This window comes from Homo sapiens, chromosome X (genome assembly GCF_000001405.40).
Source record: "Homo sapiens chromosome X, GRCh38.p14 Primary Assembly".
NCBI classification, from domain to species: domain Eukaryota; kingdom Metazoa; phylum Chordata; class Mammalia; order Primates; family Hominidae; genus Homo; species Homo sapiens.
The window spans coordinates 136,200,786-136,222,893 of record NC_000023.11 but is presented as its reverse complement, the minus strand read 5'-3'; the positions used below and the strand labels follow the sequence as shown (position 1 = coordinate 136,222,893).

Below are 22,108 nucleotides of genomic sequence, written 5' to 3'. Positions count from 1 at the left end.
CTCCATCTTGGGCAACAGAGTGAGGCTTTGTCCTCCCCTCTCCCAAAAAAAAAAAAAAAAACAGTCAAAAACTTTTTAGCTATTCACTGACTAGTCCCATCCCGCCTTAGTTAAGGTTCTGAGCAGGCAGAGAACAAATGCCAACCCAAAGTTATATTCCCTTGGCTCCTGCCCAGGGAAATCTTTCATTCTTGAATGTCTTCCTAGCTAAAAGACGCAGCTACGGGCACCTGTCCCTATCCCCCGTAGATTCTTGGGGCCAGTTAAAAGAGGTTATATTTTTTTACCTTTTCGTTGAAATGACAAAAATTAGCCATCAGTCCAGCTTTGAAGTCAGACTTTGTTGAAATTCTAAACCAGGATGATTGAATATTAGGCATAATCAAGATTTCCTTTTTTAATCGTAGGTCACAGAAACATCCAGCCATGACATATATGAAGAGGCTGAGGCTGACAACGAAGAAAGCGACAAGGACTCATTGAATGAAATGTTTCCATCAGGTTAGTCACCATTTAGGAGCTAGACTGCTTAGGTTCATATCCAGGGGCTCCTCTGCTTTTGAGCTGTGTGGCTTTGGGCAGGTCACTTAACCTTTCTGTGCTGAGTTTTTCCCATCTGAAAAAGGGGAAGCTAATGTCCTTTTCCTAGAGTGGATATGAGATTTCAGTGAGGTAAATCCATGTAATGCTAAAAACAGTGTCTCACACATAAACTCTCAATAAATATCAGCTGCTGCTGCTTATTATTTTAAAGACCATGCTAATGGACTGTAGACAGCAGCTCTTTCTCAGTTGAATGTGAGGATTGCCAGCATTTCATAGCTCAGCTCCTCAAGGCATCCATGTTGACCACAGGTGGAATTCCACTTTCCACTTCATTAAGAAAAATTGAAACCATGTCATAATAAGAATGCTTTCTCAAATGTATCATTGACTCCCTTACAAGTAGGAACCACTTTGTAGTAGCAGTAATTGCCATTTGAGAAAACACTATTTGTCCATATTTTTCCTGCCAGTGGATGTTGAACAGGAAAGTCAGGTCCTCTACTAGGTGCTGGGGATGAAGGGGTGAAAAGACATGGCCTCAGCTTGAAGGAGCCATAGCCAGTGGGAAGACAAACATATGAGCAAACCATAATACTGCCACAAGATGATTGGGTTGAAAGAAGTTTGGTGAAAATACAATGAGAACATAGCAGTAAGAGCCCCTCAGTCTGCCTTAGGGCATTGAGGAAAGCCGAAGATAGAAGGTAATATTAGAGGTAAGATGAGGCAGGGCAGTGGCTCACGCCTGTAATCCCAGCACTTTGGGAGGCCGAGGTGGGCGGATCACGAGGTCAGGAAATCGAGACCATCCTGGCTAACACGGTGAAACCCCGTCTCTACTAAAAATACAAAAAATTAGCCAGGCGTGGTGGCGGGCGCCTGTAGTCCCAGCTACTTGGGAAGCTGAGGCAGGAGAATGGCGTGAACCCTGGAGGTGGAGCTTGCAGTGAGTGGAGATCGTGCCACTGCACTCCAGCCTGGGCAACAGAGCGAGATTCCCGTCTCAAAAAAAAGAAAAATTAGAGGTAAGACGAAATGCACAAACAGAATTGTCTAGGTGAGTGATCAGGGGAGGGGTGAAAATCTGGAGCAGTCTTATCTCTGGTCATTATTCTTTCCTAGCAAAGGAAAAAGGACAGATTCCTTAAACGTAGCCTCTTGGTGCCTCAAGGGCAGGGTGAGTGTGTGTGCTGAGCAGTGGCCTGGGACATGGCTTGGGAAACTCTGTGACTGCTGGGCCTGCCTCCCAGGAGTACTGCTGCTTGACTCTTCCTGCCTTCAGGCAGGCAGTACCCACTCCCCATCCCATCAGGATCATAGCCTTCACTTTTTCTTGAATTCTTTATTGAAACTCCATATTTAATTGTGTAATTTTTTTTCCTAGCCATTCTAAATGGCACAGGCTCACCTACCAAATTTAAAATGCCGTTCAACAATGCCAAGAAAATGACACACAAGCTGGTATTTCTAGAAGATGGTACCAGCCAGGTCCGTAAAGAGCCAAAAACATATTTTAATGGCGATTTGAAAAACTTCAGACAAAAAAGCATGAAAGACACTTCAATACAGGAAGTAGTTTCAAGGTGAGTCACTTAGCCAGCTTATCTAAATAAACTTGGCAGGATTATGATTGACAATCTTAGAATGCTAGATAAATATGATCTCTTGTGCTCTTAGTTTGTACCAAACACCATGTCACATATTTGACTTAACGGAAATAAACTCATCCCCACAACAGCCTTGCTAGGTAAGGATCATCATCCCCATGTATAAAGACAAGGAGACTGAGGGTCAGAGAGGCTAGGGGCTTTATTTGCCCAATATCCTGCTATTAAAGGGCAGAGCCCAAATTCAATTCCAGATACATCTGGCTCCAAACTTTACTTTTGTTCACATTGGTTAATGTTATCTCATAAAGTTGGGCAAGAAGACATTTATTGAGTGATTGCTATATACCAGGCATTTTATATTACCTATTTCAATTATCATCACAACTGTGAGTGTGACAGTAATATCCTCATTTTATTATTTTTTTATTTTTCATTTTTTTTTTAAGAGTTGAGGTTTCACCATGTTGGCCAGGCTGGTCTTGAACCTCCTTGGCTCAAGTGATCTGCCCACCTCGGCCTCCCAAAGTGCTGGGATTACAGGCGTAAGCCACCACACCCGGCCATAATATGCTCATTGTCAATGTAAGGAAACAAGGTCAAAAGTTAGGTCAGGAGAGCAGGAACTGATTCATGGAAAGGAATGCTACATGGGCAATTGCCTGAGAAGACATTCACCTGCAAGGCCCACAGGAACAGGAGTCTGCTGAGAGGTGTGATGATGTGGAAGGAGCATTAGAGCTAGAGGACCTGTACCAATTCTGTTACTACACCTCACTGGCCGCATCCTTGACCAATGTAAGGGAGGGGCATGGTTTCTGGAGTCCTGCGTGCTTAGCTGCTCCTACTCCTGGTGCTTCCGTGGGACCTAGGGCTTTCTGGAATACAGTTTGAAAATCAGTGTGTCCTGTGATCTCTAGGGTTCCTTTCAGTCATCCTGTTCTATGATTCTGAAATGTTTTTTAATTCCAAGGCATTTCTTAGAAGTTAATTAAAGGACAAAGCTTCTTTTAGGCCAGAGCCTTGGTTTGGGAATAATTGGGATTCTAACCAAACTGTCTCTTTCCAGACCATCTTCCAAAAGAATGACCAGTCACACAACGAAAACCAGAAAGGCGGATGAAACCAACACCACCAGCAGATCCTCTGTTAGTATGAATTATGAGCAGCAGCGTATCTGTGACAAGATCACCAACATTGTTTAAGTCACACAGAACTATCTTTGTCACATTTTTCTCCTGACAGGCACAAACAAAATCTGAAGGATTCCATGACATCTTGCCAAAGTCCTCAGACACCTTTAGACAATAAGAGAAGAAGCAAACCTGTTTCTCCTCATTTGGGTAAGTCCTCATCTCATCTACCTTTTTCTTGAAAGGCAATTGACCCTGAACCCGCTCCCCTCCTTCTAGCCATTCCAGGGCAGTCTTTGCACCATATAGCTTTGGAAGAGAAGGAGAAGACAGTTGTGGGTCTGCAGGAATGATGTGAGAGTCTTCCATTAAGTTGGTTTTGAGAAAGTAGAGAGTAGATGACTTGATTCTAATTTTTATGTACCACATTTCAGGCCGGATATAAAAAATAAGTTCTGGCCAGGTGCAGTGGCTTACGCCTGTAATCCCAGCACTTTGGGAGGCCAAGGCGGGCAGATCACTTGAGGTCAGGAGTTTGAGACCAGCCTGGCCAACATGGTGAAACCCTGTCTCTACTAAAAATACAAAAATTAGCCGGGTGTGGTAATGCATGCCTGTAATCCCGGCTACTTTGGAGGCTGAGGCAGGAGAATCACTTGAACCCAGGAGGCGGAGGTTGCAGTGAGCCGAGATCCTGCCACTGCACTCTAGCCTGGGTGACAGAACAAGACTCTGTCTCAAAAAAAAAAATGATCTTTTCAAGCTTGCATCTCAGACTCCTCTGAGCTCCTGGTCTGCTGGTTGCTTGGCAAGCACACAGACAGTTGCTTAGGGCAGAAGATTAGGGAGGTCTTCGGAATAAGCCTCAACCTGTTTCCAAAACCAGAAGCCTCTTGTTTTTCTTTCCTTGAGAAGTTCTCTTTGAAATTGAGAAGCACCTTGGGCCTGGTTGGGGACTGGGGAAGTGAAGGACATTTATAGGACCAGTGTGTCAGCAACTCCAGAGGGGCTGCTGAGAGTCCTGGGCGTGTGCCCTGAAGGGAGGCCAGGGACAAGTTGCTGTGAGACTAGCATCTTCTCTACTGATCTTTCTTTTACTTTTCCCTCTGGTCAGATATGTAAACCTTACTCAGCCTGGGAGATGAATACATCTTCCACTCTGGATAACTCAACTCCTGGGCCCATCAGTCCTCAAATTTTTCTGCTTCTGACTTGAACCTGGTAAAGGAAGTGACACCGAAAAATTGAAAGAAACTGTCAAAAGGCCACTTTGATGTATATCTCAGATGTTAAAGTCATCTTATTCTCTTGTGTCTAAGCAAGAGTTCTAAGTAAAGAGTGGTTTTTGTTTTCTTTGGAAAATCATCATTGTCTCTCATTCTTGTGTTGTCCCACCAATGTGTTTGCTGGAGTGAGTGCATCAAGGATGCTTTCCTGAAACTGTAACTGTGGAGTTTCTAGAAGAATCTGATTGCAGAACTAATTCTCTTTCAGTATATATTTGAAATCTTAAAGTAATGCTTTTTCTTTTTCTTTTTCTTTTTTTTTTTTTTGAGACGGAGTCTTGCCCTGTCGCCCAGGCTGCAGTGCAGTGGCACAATCTCGGCTCACTGCAACCTCCGCCTCCTCATCTCAAGCAATTCTCCTGTCTCAGCCTCCCCAGTAGCTGGGATTACAGGCATGTGCCACCACACCTGGCTAATTTTTTTGTATTTTAGTAGAGATAGGGTTTTACCATGTTCACCAGGCTAGTCTCGAAATCCTGGCCTCAAGAGATCCACCCGTCTTGGCCTCCCAAAGTGTTGGGATTACAGGTGTGAGCCACTGCACCCAGCCAAGTAATGCTTTTTCTGTGTACCAGTGACAATTTTGACAGCTAAAAACTCACAGTTGATCTTGTAGAGAACAGAATAGATTATGCAAGGGCCGCAGGATCGCTCACAAGAGCTGTCAGATTGTTTCTAATATAAAAATACCAAAGGTTGCAAAATCCAGCAAATTGTATTTTACTGTGATATATGTATATTTTTAACTCTACCCATCTGTGCCAGTGAGTACACAGGCACTAATAACCTGAAATGCTGGGAGTCCTGTAAAGCCCCATCTTGGAACAGTCAGCACCTTTCATGCTCTTGTCAGTGTTTCCTTTTGAAGGACATATTGGTGTTTATCTACAGAAACATATATTATTTTTATTGTGTACATAAAGGAGTATATGGCTGTTGTCCCGTGGGGTATGTTTAATTCCTCTAAATGTTTAAAGTACTTTTCTGCCTGTACTCTCCAGTTCTGTCGTTGAGTATACACTCAGGCTTGAGATACAACCAAAATTTGCTTGCCTTTCTCTAGCCACTGGCTGCCAGTGAGTTCGTGTGATGGGCACACAGAAATGCACACAGATGTACATACACGTATGTATGCACACACAGTATATGATTCCATAAAATTCAAATGCAGATTAATTCTCCTAATGAGTTTTCAGTGTTGAATCGTAAATAGTCTGAAGCAGGCCAGTGTTCCTTTTGGCTGCCAGTCTTGGATTAGTAAAAGGAGGTAATTCTTTCAGATTCCCTGGTTCTTTGCCACTCAGAGTATTGTACTTTTGATATAGAATAGAGAAGGTTACCTTTGGTTTAAAAACTATTTTTATATACTAGCTCTTTCATGTATAAAACAGAGACAATCATCCTAACAAAAGAGTTCCTGTTATTTTTCTGCACAAATGTCTTGTGTTGAAACACTGTTACAGTTCCATATAAATGTGTGCTATATAAAATAAACTTTGGAGATAAAACAAGGGTTTTTTCATTATAATACTAAAAAAAGTGTACTGGTGGTGGTATAAAGGCAACACCAATTGTTGGCTGAGCTATGAACACAGGCAGCCAGCAAATTGAATGAACAGGGATCAAATCCCCTGATTTCCCTCTTCATCCAGTTGGTGATTTGGCAGAGTTCCACTTCTGGAATAGAAAGATGTGAGTTTTTTTGTTTGTTTGTTTGTTTTAGAGACAAGGTCTCACTCTGTGGCCAAGGCTGGAGTACAGTGGCACGATCATAGCTCACTGCAGCCTCAAACTCTGAGGTTCATGCAATCCTCCCACCTTAGCCTCCTGAGTAGCTGGGACCACAGTCATGGCACCATACCTGGCTTTTTTTTTTTTCTCTTCGTCTTCTTTCTTCTTTCTTCTTTCTTCTTCTTCTTCTTTCTTCTTCTCTTTTTTTCTTTTTTTTTTTTTTTTTTTTTTAGAGATAGGGTCTTGCTATGTTGCCTAGGCTGGTCTTGCACTCCTGGCCTCAAGTGATCTTCCTGCCTCAGCCTCCAAAAGTGCTGGGATTACAGGCATGAGCCACCACACCCAGCCTAGATGTGAGTTTTCAAGCTCTGGTTGTCTTCCTGCAACTATTTCAGTGCTTGTTACTCTTCCCTGTGATGGTTCTGTTGTATAAGTTGAGGCTTATTACTGCAGTATCTTTTGATTTTTTTAAAAAAAATATTTTGTTTTTTCTTTCTTGCCCTGGTTTATGGTGCTGATCTTGCTTTTTTTAATCCCAATAAAAATCATATAACCTAAAAGTAACCATTTTAAAGTGTATATTCACAAGGCTGTGCAGCTATCCCCACTGTCTAGTTCTGGAACATTTTCATCACCCTGAAAAGAAAATCTGTGTCCTTTAAGCAGTCACTCCCCTTTCCCTCCTCCCCTTGCCCCTTTAATTCTCACATTCAGTGCTCACCTTGGATGAGGAAAACCCTCTTGCTTTGAAAAGTCTGGGCAGTTAATTGTGCTCTTTTATACTCATCTCTTAATGACATCACTGTTACTGTGAGTGGCAAAACAAATGTTCTGATCTGCCTGTGAGTGTTTAGTTTCCAATCTTAAGTCATGCTTTACTCCAGCAGTCCCCAACCTTTTTGGCACCAGGAACTGGTTTTGTGGAAGACAAATTTTCCATGAACCTTTGGTGGGGATGGTGTGGTGGTTTTAGGATGACTCAAGTGCATTACATTTATTGTGCACTTCATTTCTATTATTACATTGTAATATATAATGAAGTAATTATACAACTCACCATAATGTAGAATCAGTGGGAGCCCTGAGCTTGTTTTCCTGCAACTAGACGGTCCCATCTGGGGGTGATGGGAGACAGTGACAGACCGTCAGACATTAGACTCTCATGAGAAGCACACAACCTAGATCCCTCACATGCGTGGTTCACAATAGGGTTCTCACTTCTATGAGAATCTAATGCCACCACTGCTCTGACAGGAGGCCGAGCTCAGGCAACAATGCAAGTGATGGGGAGCCACAGTAAATACAGATGAAGATTTGCTCTCCTGCCACTCACCTCCTGCTCTGTGACCCAGTTCCTAACAGGTCACAGACCAGCACCAGTCCGTGGCCCAAGGGTTGGGGACCTCTGCTTTACTAGGTTTTGTTTTTGATAAGGCAAGGTCCTTGTTTATCCCAAGTCTTTGGGGTCTGGTGCTTATGAGAATGGTGGTAGCCATTCCCCACTGAACATGCTAGAGCATTCTATATACTTTTAAATCAGCACGAACTAGACACATCCCATTCCTGTCAAATTCCAGAAATCCCATTCCTCCTTGTGTCTCATCTGAGCTGGAAACTCTTCACTGCCAAGTCTGGCGCCAGGTCCTGTTGATCCATCCATTGAAACTGTCTACCAGGATGTTCCTGTTTACAAGGCCAAGGTGATGGACACTGACCTAGCTTTCCCCTCACGCATTGCTGCCTCGCATTTCCCTTCCTGGTATCCTCTACCCGGAGGGACAGACCCCTGGCCTCTACCAGCAGATTCTGCAGATCAGCGCATTTTCTACGCCTGTGTCATTGTGGACACTGCATGTGGAATGAAGTTTTTTAACAGCTCCAATCCCTAAAAACCACAAGAATGCAGTGTGAAATACCATAAAGAATGCCAGACAGGCCCCTGAAGACCTGAACCCAGCTGAGAGGGCTGCTAGCTCACGTGTGACATTGTGCACGTTGTTGCTCTTCTCTGATCCCTGTTCCTTGTCTGTCAAATGAGGGGGCTGTGCTACAATCTCTGCAGCCTTTTCAGTTTTGAGACTCCACTGTTCTCAAACACCTCTAACTCCTTGGAGCCAGAGCAAGAGGGATCAGGAGGCATAAAACAGCAGCGATGGCCAAGGAGCCAGAGCGTGGAGGCGGACTGTGCATGACATTTTATCATGTCAGGGGGCAATTCCCTGTCATTTTCAGTGACCCCACCCCTCCAGTGCCTGGCCGGCCTGGTTGGTCAAAACAGGCCCCGAAACAGCCTCCTTGCCTTTGGTCTCCTTACCAGTCCAGTTACAGTGTTTCCAGATGGGTCCTAGGCACCCATCTGATTCTAATTTCCCCAACTGTATTGTAATCATTGCAGTTAGGTTTACATGTGCAATATGCAAGGTACTTGATAGGCATTTTCTTTTTGTTTTTTTGAGATGGAGTCTCGCTCTGTTGCCCAGGCTGGAATGCAGTGGCGTGATCTTGACTCACTGCAACCTCTGCCTCCCAGGTTTAAGGGGTTCATCTGCCTCAGCCTCCTGAGTAGCTGGGACTACAGGCACACACCACAACACTTGGCTAATTTGTGTATTTTTAGTAGAGACAGGGTTTCACCATGTTGGCCAGGCTGGTCTCGAACTCCTGACCTCAGGTGATCTGCCTGCCTCAGCCTCCCAAAGTGCTGGGATTACAGGCATGAGCCACCGTGCCCAGCCAGGCATTTTCAATGCTCACAACAACTCTATGAGGTGTGGGTATTCATTTATGCCTATGAGGACACTGAAATTTGTGGAGAGCAGCATTTGTTCCAGGTCACACAGCTGGAAAGAGACAGAGCTGATATTCAAACCCAAGTTTGTCCCTCAAACTAACACCCCACACTGCTTTGGGAGTGGACATAGTGTCTTGAGGCTTGCAGGGTATGTCACAGACACCAGAGCAGTGTCTTTGGTGCTGGGAATGAAATGTTTGTTGGCATTTAGTGTGTTTACTGGGTGCCAGTCCCCTCACTAAGCACCTGCATTATGTCTCCCACATGGGATTCTGCAAAGTAGAAATTTTACGTCTCACAGGTGAAGGATCAAGCTCAGAGAGGTTAACTTGCCCACAGTCTCATGACTACAAAGTGGCAGAGCAGCCAGGATTTGAACCCTGGTAGCCTGGTGCCAGAGCCCACCCTGTTAACCACAAGCAGAGAGGTTCTTGATATTCTGATCCCATTAATTATGAGGGAGAAAATGTTTCTCTGCTGACAAATTGTTAAGGGGAAATTTACCCTCATTTCTCCTGAGCCTTAGGGGTGTCACTCTTAAAATCGCATATTCAACAAACAAATGCCTTCTAAGTACTGAGCACTGTGCACGATGGTTTTATTGTGATGTGTCTATTTTTTACGACAATTTAGTGTCATGAGTGATATGCTAGAGGTGTGTCTAGGGTGTGGCTTGTCACTTATTAGCTGTGTGACCTTAGGCAAGCTTCTTAACCTGTTTTCTCATCTGGGAAACGGGAGTGATGGTGCGTGTCAGCTGTGATGCGTGTAGGTGCTTCACAAGATGCTGAAGTGTGAACGGCAGGCAGGCATCACGAAGCAAGCAATAGTTAGAAGCTGACTCCGGATAGACCTCAGTCTCCCGGGTGAGGAAGGTGGTGGAGGCGGTCTTGGGACTTTGGGCCAAGTGGCAGAGTAGTGGGACGGGGAATTTTAGGCCAGGGTGCTTTTCCTCAACAGAGCTCAAGCCATCCACTCAGGTTTTGCAGGCCAAGCAGGCTAGAAGGGCAAAGGGATAACAGGAGTGAGGAGGGAAACGAGTGAAGTGCAAACCATAGAATGTAGGGCAGATGCGGAGGGGCATTAGGGTGGGAAGGGGCTGAGAAGGAGGGTGGACCGAGGACTGGAGGGAAAGGAACTGTCGCAGTGAGGAGGAGTTCCGGAATGGGAAAGAGCACGTGGGTAGGAAGGAGAGCATGCGTCTGGATGCTGAAGGCCCAGGGCTCAGCCGAAATGGATTGAGAGCATAAGCCGGGGCCAAAGCCCTTAGTGAAGGCAGATGGGGCCCCCTCTCCATCCCAGGCCTGTCTTCTGTCCCCTCTCCCCGTGGGGCTCCTTTCCTTGCTGCAGCCTCAGGAACTCAGCCCACTCCCTTGGGAGCAGTGAGGGCAGCCACTCCCCATCCCCTGAGCCAGCCTCACTGTCCCTGGGGCCCCACATGACTGGACAGACTTCATTGGTTTCAAGGTTTTCATGGCTAATTTCTGTAAGGAAACACACACAAGGGGATGTGCCACATTCCTAAAAGTGCTCATGGTTTCTTGCTGACAGGTTCAGTTCCCTTCTCAGAAGGCAAACGTTAGCACCAAAGGGCTTCTGTCCTTTGCTTTTATCACCCTCAGCATGTGGCCCAGTTAAGACTAACACCCCCTCCTCCCACCCAGTTCTGCTTGTACTTTGACGAGGGGCCCTTATGGTCTGAAGCCTCTTCCACCAGGAGAGTGCAGCAGACACCTGTCGCATGGGGCCTCTTGTGCTGTGCCGTAAGGGCCACATGGGTGTGGGCAGGTTGGATGACCCAAGAACACGAGCCTCAGAGGTGAACAAAAGACACTGGTGTGTGGTGCTAGTCTAGAAGCAGCGGCAACTGGGGAGCCTCAATGCCAGGCCAACCCCCTGCCTCTGCCCACGGCATCCCTGCATGTTCCCCCTAACTGAAGTGCATGGGCCCAAATGGGCAGCTTCCTTAGTGAGCCACATCCACAAGAAGGAGCGAGGGTGTCATTCAGCTGGCAGGTGGAGGCAGCCGCAGTTGAGATGGTCACGTTCAACCTGGACCCCAGGCTCCAGAGGGCACAAGGGGAAAGGCACACCGAGGAAGCACCCAACAAACAGGGACCAAGATGGCTTCTCAGTGCCATGCTTCATCAGGGATTCCCTCCCTAATCCCCTGGCCAAATCAAACCAATTCATCGTTTTCTTTCTTTTTCAGGGATGTGAAAATCTGGGAAATACTATTTTAGGTCAGAGTGGTTTCTGTTTGTTTTTAATTATTTATTTATCAATCAAGTGTGGTTTTTACAGGTTTGTTTATAATTCCTATGTTCTGTGCGCCTGCACTAAAGTGAGTATATCCTGGAAGGAAAATAAGTCATTTAGGTTTCTGGATTAGGAGTATCACCTTATAGCGATTCCACCAGGCAGAATGAAAAGACAGGAGGCAGGTTATTCATATGCTGCTTTATTTCTGTAAGGATACACTGAAACGTTAGATGATAATAGCTAATGACAGAATGTAGAAATGAGGCATCAGCTTCTCTAACCACTCCTACAAGAATGTTAGTATGTATTGTCATTACATGTTTACTTTTGATATTGTCTCATTATACTATGTCATATAATAATGTAGAATACAGTAAGTAGGTGATCCTGCATTTCAGGTAAGCGGTAGGTGGAAATCCAGATTTCCTCTTGAGGAAAAGTCCTAGGAATCACAACAGAAGGGACTTTGCAGTCCTCATTAACACATGGACAAAGAGCAGACAACTACTACGTTACAAGGGATTCAACTAGTCACTGTTGTGAAATGTCATATCCATGTTGATGACAGCCCTGGCGCCTGCTCAACTCCCCCTCTAGAGTTTTGCGGTTACTTCCGTAGGATGAATTTCAGCACTGCAGGAACATCTGAGGGGGCTAAAATATTTTCATGCAAGTTTCCAAACCCATAAACTATTTTGCTATCAATTAAAACAAAAATATTAATTAAAAACAATAAAAAGGACAGCAGGGTTAGTTTTGTTAAGCTTCCAGAAGTATTCGTTGTGACGATGTTCCTCTGAAACAGGCTCGTTTTCTCAGGTCTTTCTACACTTCCCAAATCACCTGCATGTTCCATGCTTTAAAGTAGGAACGCTCAGAAAACATGCCACACGGGGAAACCAAACGTTAGTACGGGGAAAGGTCAGTTTAGAATTACAGCTAAGTTCAAATGTTAATTTTCTGGAAGTTCGTGTTAGTTATTTGAAAGCACAAAAGAACAGAAGGAAGGGCAGAGTTCTGATGAGGAAGTTAAACCATGCATGTCAGTAGGGTTCTTTTCCTGCTCACAGAAGAGGGTGAGCAGTGAGTTGGAGCAGCCGCTGCAACTCTTGCATGTCGTGTGTCTACACGGTGGGTCCCAGCTGAGGCATGAGAGGCATCTCAGTGGGGGTTTTATCTCCTATGCTTCTTGCTTACATCACTAAGTGGCTAAATGATTAGCACTTTTCTGCTCTATGAGAAACATGCAGAAGAGTCAATCTACCTAAGTTTTCATTTTTAAATTGCAGCCGGACAGAAATTCACTTTGCTGCAGGGTTGCTTTTTGCTAAATGCTAATATGATCACTGTGTGCCCTTATTTGAGTAATACTGTAAAATGGGAGAAAAGACGGAAGGAGAACTTTAAAGAAGGGAAGGACCACTCTTCCCCTATTGATGGTATAGGGCAGAAAGTAAGGACACAAAGAACGAGATTCAAATGCCATTTTACAGGACAGGAGCCCCTGTCAGTTTACAGCTTTTTGGCACAGTCGGGACAATACACTTGCTCCTGGTGGAAAACAAAGCGCTTGTTGGCCAGATTCACGGAGCATTTTTTGCAGTGGAAGCAGTAGTCGTGCCAGGATTGTCCTTCATAGGCCACCACACTGGAGCCTTTACCAAACCCTGGGGGGAAAAAAAAAGAAAAGAAAAGAAAACAAGAGAAACAGCTGAATGAATACAGGTGAGGAAACCACGATTCAGAGAGATAAAATGACGACCTGCCCCACTCACAGACCGACAAGCACGCAAGAGCCAGGTCTGCCTGGCTCCCAGACCCCCTCCTCCACTCCATCGTGCACAGTCCCCCACGCCGCCATTGTCCCCCATGCCGCCGCAACCCTGCTGTGGCTCTCAAGGACCTGAGAAGATGCTGAAGCCCGGCCAAGGGCTTCCCTGATGTAAAGACCCCACGTTCCCATGCCACCACGCTATTGCCCTGTGACGCGCACCGACCTCCCAGCATAACCAGTTTCTTTGATTTAGGTCAGGGCCATGACATCAAAGTGGCCACCAGGAGGCAAACTTGGGCTGTTCGTGGGGTGTGCACTTACCGGGCCTCGAGGAGCTGCTAAGCTTCGATTTTTTCTATAAAGAACCACCACCCACGAGGGACAAGTCCTCTCTCCACCCGGATGCCTGCCCCGGAGGTTGGCGCTGGGAAACAGGGTGAGAGGCAAGCGTTTCCCGTGGCACACTGGGGGCTTCCTAGCTTTAGAGACTGGGTGGCTCACTCTTGACACAGTCCTTTTCCCTGAGGATGGCAAAAGTCTTCTCAAATGTACATTTCAAGGCTCCCCGGGAAGATGGGAAAATTGGAGGCAAGGGAAAGGGCCCAGGGCACGTGGATCGCGGCCGCGAGATGAGGAATGAAGTGATTAGCTTTGCTGATCGCAAAAACAAATAAACAGCAAACCAAAAAAAAAAGAAACCCTGCCAACAGGCATCTCTGAACTAGCCTTCAGCTATGGGGTATTACAATCCCGGGTTATCACTCTTCGGCCTCCCTTACCCCTTCCCCACCCTCCCCCACCCCCTTCTTTCTACCCTCCTCCCACCCCTCCCCCCAGAATCCCCCTGCAAAGTGGCAGTGCCTGCCGGTGTTGGCTGGCAGGTCTCAGGCTTGTGAACTCTCAGCATTGTTAGTCAACAGTCAGGAAGTGTTCTGTATTGCAAAGGCTAACCTGGCCTGGGGACGAATCCAAACTCTTGGGGGGCCTTTGGGACCACAATAGCAGGGGGAGAAGGGCATTCTCTGGGGGCCTTTGTGGATGAAACCGACGACAGGAAAATGAGAGATGGTTACCATGCGCAAAACCTAGCCTGGCAGACTTAGCAAGGACTCTTTAGCCTACCAGTGATGGGGTTCTTGCATCCAGCACACTTCTTGGCCACAAAGTTCTTGTAGCAATCCACGCAGTAATACTGGTCCTCCACAGCGGTGAAACGCTGCCCAGCCAGCTTCTTAGAGCAGGTAACACACACAAAGCAATCGGCATGCCAGGGCTGATCCTGGTAAGTGATTCCTCCAGATGTGATGGCCTAGACCAGGGAGTGTAGCACCGGATTCAGATTCAACAACCATTTTGTTGAATGCCTACTGCGTGCCAGGCACTGTGCTGGGCGCTTTGGTATACAATATCTCATTTAATCTCCACAACAGCCATGGGAGGCAGGGGCTATTATTATCCCCACTTTACAGATGAAGACACCAAGGCTCGGAGAAGGTGAGCCCCTATGTGAGGTTACACAGCCCCTAAGTGGTGGAGGCAGGCTTCTAGAGCCAGGGCTGCCCAGCTCAGCATGCCATACGGGCCACCCGCACCACCAGGCTGAGGATGCGTACTGACAGCCTGACTTGGCTGTGGCACTGCTTCCTAATCCACGATCTCCTCATCTGTAAAACGGGAATAATAATTCCTACGTCACAGGGCTGTCGTGAGGATGGAATGGGATAGTGTGTGTGGAAGTGCTCTGCAAACTGTCAAACACTTCTAGAAACAACGGTCAATGCAGAACTCCCTTGAAAGCATACCTTGTTGCACTTCACGCAATGCTTGGCAAACTTGGTCTCATGGCAAGTCACGCAGTAGAAGTCCTCCCCTTTAGGGAAGAAGCTTCCAGTCCCGATGACTTGCTTGCAGTTACTACAGGTGAAGCAGTCTTTGTGCCAGACGGTCCCCTTGTACTCCACGTTTTGATCTCCTGCAGAGGGAAGCAATTGGATAGCCCCACTGACAGGCTCTGCAGGGGGCTGCATCCACTCAGCTCCCCTCCCCAGGCCCTCCAGAGGTGAGGGGATGCAGGCCCTGCAGTTACTGGCCTCACACCTCCAACTAACCTACCTGTGTTCTACTTGTGCTTGTGCCAACCCAGGATTTCTGTCATGGGTGGGGACCCCAGCATTATTATTTTAGGATCCAGTGCCTGAATCCCCCACTCCCCCACCTCTATACCCTGCGTGCACTTAGACATTAAATCAGGGACTGCCTGGCCCAGAATGACACCCTGAGGAAGAAGCATGCTTTCATCACTTACTACGCCCAAATGAGAAAGCGCTACATACTGTTCACTTCATTCTGTTGCCACAGGCTGTTCTCGCCAGTGTTCTTTAGTCTCCGAGTGTGTGCGTGTGTGCGAGCATATATGTGTACGCATATATACGTGTATGTATATGTGTACATATATATGCTAAGATCTCAAAGCAGCTCAGAGCAACGTTAGCCCCACCATGATAAGCAAGCCCACATCACGTCTGCCCTCAGGGCCTCCTCCCTGGGAACCCGGGGTGGGAAGGAGGCAGTACCTGCCACAATGGCCTTGAAGCACCCCTTGCACTTGGGGGAGTCCTCCCGAGTGGTGCACTTGTTGCACAGGATCTTGTTGTCCTTGGCCACAAAGGTCTCATTGGCCAAGGGGTGAAGGCACTTGGCACAGCGGAAGCAGGTGTCATGCCAGAAGCGGTTCTTATAGTGCACCTCCTGGAAACCAAGCAGACAGGGTGGGCCACCATGAGGGGTGCTGGGGGTGGTGGCAGGAGCCCTCCCATAAGGCTGATTTCCCTGGGACTGACCACTGAGATGACACAGTCCCTTACACCTGGGACTGCCCCACAGTGACTATTCTTATAGGAGGGACGCTGAGGTGAGGATAAAAATCTCACAATTCTTGAAATATTTAGAATGCAATCAAAAGAGCTGGCAAGGGCGCTGGCGCCCATCCAGTCAAGCCCCACATTAAACAGCTCGGGCCACTGTGGCCTGGGGAGTGGAGGAGGCTTCCTTGAGGCCTCAAGGTGGCTGCAGTGATGCTGGGAAATCCTAACAGCCAGCTGCTGCTGCCATGGTTGTGGGCAAAGGACACTCCAAAACCCAGCCCTTCCCATTGGCACATGGGGATGCCCGTTACCTTGGAGTCCGCACCGATGGGCTTGCGGCATTCCACACAGGTGTTGGCACAGAACTTGTCAAAGCATTTCAGGCAGCAGTGGTGGCCATCCTTTTGCACATACTTCTTCCCCTGCAAGGGATCCCTGCAGTAGTGGCAGTCAAACTTCTCCGCCATGGTGCCCACCTTGTAGCTGGAGGGACCTGCGGGGGCAAGCAGACAGGACAAATGACCACAGGAAATGCCCCAGCACCCTGAGCAGTGGCTCCCAGAGGCACCTGCACAATGCTGCCTTGGAGTCCATGGGGTCTGAGGACCAAGACCCAGCTTCCCCTTCAGCCGAGCTGACTACCAGGCACCAAGACAACAGATACTTCACTATGATTCCAGGAACAAAAGCACCCCGCGGGGCCAGATGGCCGATGGCTAGTGATTCCCTGGGGAGATGGTAGAAGCCCCTGCTCAGATATATCAACTGTGCTGATTCACAAAAGATGCGGAGCGGGGCAAGTGGATCAGAGCCTGTGTTGGCCAAGTCACCAGATAGGGGACAGGATGCTGGGAGGTATGGCTGAGCAGTGCTATTGTGCCATTGAGCAGTGACCCGATGGAGTGGAGGGGTGTGATGGGGCAGGCAGGCAAGAAGCAGTTGTTTTATACAAAGGAAGAGTGTGGGGCAGAGGCTCAAAGGGGTGCAGGAAAGCAGGGGCCCCGCCTGCAGGCAGCAGCTTCTCTAAGCCCACCACGTTGTCATCAAGAAGCCTCTCTGCCCGCTTTCAGCTCTTCCTCCGTCTCTTTTTAGGGAGGGTAGTATCCTCTGGAGGCCTCCCGTTCCTCCTATCTATAAAATTCTATTCATCAGAATAGAAACTGACAGCTCATTCTGTACCACACCAGGTACCTAAGCAATCCTTGTTAATTTGTTTAAAATGTTTAAATTTACTTGCAATTTAGCAGAAAAGTGTTAAATCCCTGAATAGATCCTAAAGAGTTTTGTCCAAGAGAGTTTACTGCCTTTTGAGGCCAGAGCAATATAGCAAGAGAGGACTTATATAAATGGCTTTGTCAATTGGCACAGGCAAGTTTGGCAACCTTGAATTATCTGTCATAGTCACGGGTGGCTTTGTGACCAAAATCAAACCCTCCCTTGAGTCAAGCAAGTGAGAATCAATATGCTCATAGAAGTGTAACCAGTATTACCATTTGGGATATTTGCTGTCTTAAAAATTATAATCTTAAAATAGAGTCTGGAAAAAATTATTCCAAGAATCCCTTCCACTCCCTCCGTATGAACAACCCCTCTTCCCTCCCTGGTCCCCTCCCCGGCTGTGGCCCTAGACAACACGCCTGCAATCCCAAGCATTACTAAGGCACTCTGCAGCTCCCTTTGCCAAGGCATTTCCTATAGAATCCTGCCACCCAAAAGGTACCAAATATGAGTTTCTATTAGCTTTCAACTTCTTTAAACATATGCTAATTTGTTCCTCTCCCCCGAAAAAGAAATTTGCACGGGTAAATAGATAGCAATTATTTCATTTGTGCAGGAAATACAAGAATTGAGACTACTTTCTAAAACTATCCACAAACATGGTTATTGTGCTAGCAAACTTCCAGCGTAATTTAGAGAGAAAGAATGAGAGAAAATAAATGAGCAGTTGCCTGGTACTCACCGCAGCTCTTCCACTAACTGAAAGCCCCAAAGTCTCACTTTGGGTTCCATTCCCAGGTTTTTTTTATACAAACACATGTCCAAGTTATTTGGATCTTGTTGCCATGAGCAACCAAACAGCAGAGAGTGAGCTAAGGAAACCACACCCTGTGTTTGAGAAGCCGCCTGGGCAAAGGCTGTTGAACTCTCACTCAGAACCAAGCCTCCAAACAAAGGAAATCAGGCCACTGGATGAGCCACAGGGCCTTCTGCCTCCTGCTGACACACAGACCCCCCTCATCTCTAAGGAGCTGGCAGATGAAGCAGATGAGTGACATTCTTGTGCAAGGACAGTTGCTTAGGACAGTTGTGTCACAATTAAGAGACTTAGCAAGACCAGAGAATGGTTCTAACTTGAACTTTTCTCTAAAAAGCAAACTGGGATGTTTCTTTATATAATGGGTTAGAAACAAAAACTAGAGACGCAATGGACACAGGGCCTATCTCCTTGAACTATGTACTGTTTAGGTAAGGAAGCTTTTAAACTGCTTTTAGCCTGTGTGTCTACAGAGAAAAGTACCTGTCCCAGTGACAGCATATGGAAAATCACTCTCTTTAATCCATTCTTGTTGGTCTTTCCAGTGTCACACAGAAGCCTCGTCTTAGCTTTGCCATACTGATAATATTGTGCCCTCAACAAAGACTTGCTTTCTTGTTAAGGGCTGAGTTGAGAAACCAAATAAATCTCCAGTAACGGCAAGTGGCAAGAAATAAATTATCAGTTGCTCCTAAATGCCATTTGGCAGGAAAACAGAATTTGTAAGATTAGACAGCACTGGCTTCCTGCATGGCTAGTAACCATTGCTGGTTTAGCCTTTCAGAGACTATCTTCTGGACCATATTTGAAAATCCCTCATTCTCTCTTACCAAGGTCTCTATTTAGTATACAACTTTGAACCTACTCGTTTTAGTATCACTTGCTTTTGATACCTTTATAAGCAGAAATTGATTCCAAATATTTCTAAGTTAAAGTACTATATAAAGTTCCACCTAAGGTGAGTCAAACCTCTTAGTATTTGAGTCCTAGCTTTATGGTAAGAAATACAGGTTAACTAGTGTCATACCAAAGAAAAAACACTAGAAAACACAATGAATGCCATTTAGAAGTAGAGGTTTTGAAGAGAAGGAAAACTGCATTATGGTTCAAAGTACCTGAGAGATCTTAACTGCCATGTTTTTCACACTTTAAAACCACACACTTTCAGTACTTTGATATTACCAGTGCAAAGTTCTTCATTGTTTAGTCTCATAGTTCTAGAACATGACTTGCTCAGAGTTCTAAGCATCCAGATGATAAAATAATCCACAGCTCACCAGTGAAGATAGAAGTAACAAAGGGTGTTGAAAATGTCAGACAATGAAGTCACTGGCCACTGTATCATTCCTATAGTACATGGTCTTAAACCAAGCAAAAGGAAAATTAAATGAATCAACCCCAAGTTAATAGTACCCATAAGAAGAGTTTCATCTCTTGGTATTTTTGAATCCTAGCTTTAGGCAAGATTTTTTCACTCTGAGTTTGAAAACTCTAGGGTCACCTTACACCTTAGATTCCCCACCACTCTATACTTAAACCTGCAGTCTGTATCCAGATGGAGAATCATTTCAAAGGGCATATTCTTTTAGAATACATTTCTACAATTCACTTGAGTCCTTTTAATGTGTGTGGAAACAATTAGTCTAGATAAAATAGGCACTTCTAGGAATGTTGGATTTGTTGCATAATAAGTAAACAGGCTAGAAATACTTAAAGTATGTTAACAATGTCTATGTCAAATTCATGAACTTTCGTATTTGTTTTGCAATAAATCAAATTAAGTGGAACTCTGGGCAACCTGAATTAGCTTACGTCACGTACTTCTAAATTTATGATTATTTGTTACAAAACAATTTCAAACCCTCATGCACGCAGTGTGCTCAGGATGAAGTTGGAGGAGATACTGATCACGTCACAATTTTGTATAAAATATGAATGATGTGCTGATGTGCACAAGACCAAAACAACTCTAAAAAGCCAGCTTATAAATGACAATGCTGAGACACACATGCAAAGATCCTGAGTGTGGGCTCCCTGAGTCTGAGCTACTATCAAGCTTTGACTTCATGAGGAGAGAAAAGCTTGCTCTTTCTTTCTTTCTTTTTTATTTTAGACGGAGTCTCGCTCTGTCACCAGGCTGGAGTGCAGTGGCGCAATCTTGGATCACTGTAACCTCTGCCTCCTGGGTTCAAGTGATTCTCCTGCCTCAGCCTCCCGAGTAGCTGGAACTACAGGCATGTGACACCACACCCAGCTAATTTTTGTATTTTTAGTAGAGACAGGGTTTCACCATGTTGGCCAGGATGGTCTCGATCTCCTGACCTCATGATCCACCTGCCTTGGCCTCCCAAAGTGCATTTTACAGGCGTGAGCCACCGCACCTGAGATTACAGGGGTTACAGGCATGAGCCACCGCGTCCATCCCAGCTTGCACTTTCTTTTGTTTGAAATGAGAGAATAGGGAAAAATGAAGATAGCATTTTACCTCTTTGTTGTTGTTGAGACAGGGTCTCGCTCTGTCACCCAGGCTGAAGTGCAGTGGTGCTATCCTGGCTCACTGCAACCTCCACCTCCTGGGTTCAAGCAATTCTCCTACCTTAGCCTCCTGAGTAGCTAGGACTATAGGTGAATGCCACCACGCCTGGCTAATTTTTGTATTTTTAGTAGAGACGGGGTTTCGCCATGTCGGGCAGGCTGGTCTTGAACTCCTGACCTCAAGTGATCTGCCCACCTCGGCCTCCCAACTTGATGGGATTGCAGGCATGAGCCACCATGCCCAGCCAGCATTTTACCTCTTCTTTTGGGCTCTCTTCAACCTTACAGAATTACATGTACTTAGGCATTTATTTCTTAGGGAATAATTTTTTATCCCCTTAGCTATTTCTAAGTACATGAAATGTGAAGGCCTTTAATCTTCCAGAACTTCTAGATATGTCTGCCTTGACCTATTGCTGTTATCCGGGAATGGGAGTGTCAGCCATCATTGAAGGAAACAATTGCTACACATCATCACCATGCTTCTTCCCTTACCACTTGTCTTTGTGGAGGGCATGTTTGCCCTCGGGCAGCTCTTTGACTAATTTTAATGTCTCGGTGTAGCCCTCATCTGTACATAGTAGGGATGCCAGAGTAGGTATTAGACATGAGCAGGGCAAGAGAGGGCCCCCCACCCAACCAGGAATGTCAGGCGGCCATCAGGTGAAGGTCAGATGGTTGTTAAACTATCTCTCGCTAAAATAATAATTGGTTGCAGCTGGCACCAAGGAAACACGGTCCCTAATAGACAGAAACACCTGAAACTGATGCTCAGCCACGTCCCCATGAGATCTCAGGAGGTGGGTAATTGGGCTCAAGCATGTGCACTAAGAGGCAAAATTGCGGTGTTTAACTGGTATAAGACCTACCTCTGGGAATGCTCTACTGCTAAGGGAAAAATCGCTTAAAGTAAGCATGCACACAACTTCAGTAAACACCACGCATGCGGCACTTCCCAAGTGCTGGCAGGCCACTGGGCATGCGGACAGCCCACCCCAAGGGAAGAATCAGGAGAGAAGTAATATAACACCCGAATCATGCCAACATATAAAAGCCCAGGTCAAAGGTCAAACCATGCACTTTTTGAATCTCTCAAGTAGCCTGCTTGGTCATCTTCTAAATGTACTTTACTTTCATTCCTGCTCTGAAACTTTATTTTATTTTTTGAGACGGAGTCTCACTTTGTCACCCAGGCTGCAGTGCAATGGTGCAATCTCTGTTCACTGTAACTTCCGCCTCCCAGGTTCAAGCAATTCTCCTGCCTCAGCCTCCCAAGTAGCTGGGATTACATGCGTGCACCACCAAGCCTGGCTAATTTTTGTATTTTTAGTAGAGACAGAGTTTCAGCATGTTGACCAGGCTGGTCTCCAACTCCTGACCTCAAGTAATCCACCCGCCTCAGCCTCCCAAAGTGCTGGCATTACAGGCATGAGCCACCGTGCCCGGCCTCCTGCTCTAAAAGTTTTTAATAAACTTTCACTCCTGCTCTAAAAGTTGCCTTGGCTTCTCCCTCTGCCTTGTTCTTCCTTGAGGAGGCAAGAAAT

General features: G+C 46.2%; 2 protein-coding genes across 25 annotated transcripts in view, besides 1 other annotated feature; one reads left to right on the top strand and one right to left on the bottom strand.

The window, feature by feature from the left end:
• Positions 1-9,674, top strand: part of MAP7D3 (MAP7 domain containing 3) — a 43,263-nt gene extending 33,589 nt beyond the window's left edge. For 2 of the 3 annotated variants that reach the window (NM_001173516.1, NM_024597.4), the window contains exons 15-19: positions 408-501; positions 1,931-2,129; positions 3,223-3,301; positions 3,399-3,496; positions 4,401-6,080. In NM_001173516.1, the coding sequence (NP_001166987.1) occupies positions 408-501; positions 1,931-2,129; positions 3,223-3,301; positions 3,399-3,464 (438 nt within the window). In that variant the 3' untranslated portion in view covers positions 3,465-3,496; positions 4,401-6,080. Of the gene's footprint in view, positions 1-407; positions 502-1,930; positions 2,130-3,222; positions 3,302-3,398; positions 3,497-4,400; positions 6,081-7,880 lie in introns of those variants that run through there. The other variant, NM_001173517.2, reaches the window with a different exon arrangement.
• Positions 8,090-8,384: a silencer, noted in NCBI's record as "tiled region #1893; K562 Repressive non-DNase unmatched - State 23:Low". NCBI's record gives its function as "represses a minimal TATA promoter and a strong SV40 promoter by Sharpr-MPRA in K562 cells {active_cell/tissue: K562}" and the evidence as "EXISTENCE:reporter gene assay evidence [ECO:0000049][PMID:27701403]".
• Positions 11,535-22,108, bottom strand: part of FHL1 (four and a half LIM domains 1) — a 64,658-nt gene continuing 54,084 nt past the window's right edge. For 7 of the 22 annotated variants that reach the window (NR_027621.2, NM_001449.5, NM_001369329.1 and 4 more), the window contains 5 exons: positions 16,306-16,487; positions 15,704-15,878; positions 14,933-15,102; positions 14,253-14,439; positions 11,540-13,023 (listed from right to left, as the gene is read on the bottom strand). Coding sequence is in view for 21 of the 22 variants with exons in the window: in NM_001159701.2 (NP_001153173.1) it covers positions 12,869-13,023; positions 14,253-14,439; positions 14,933-15,102; positions 15,704-15,878; positions 16,306-16,487 (869 nt within the window). In the remaining variant the exon portion in view is untranslated. Of the gene's footprint in view, positions 13,024-13,451; positions 13,652-14,252; positions 14,440-14,932; positions 15,103-15,703; positions 15,879-16,305; positions 16,488-17,954; positions 17,993-22,108 lie in introns of those variants that run through there. The other 15 variants (NM_001159702.3, NM_001369326.1, NM_001369327.2 and 12 more) reach the window with 6 other exon arrangements.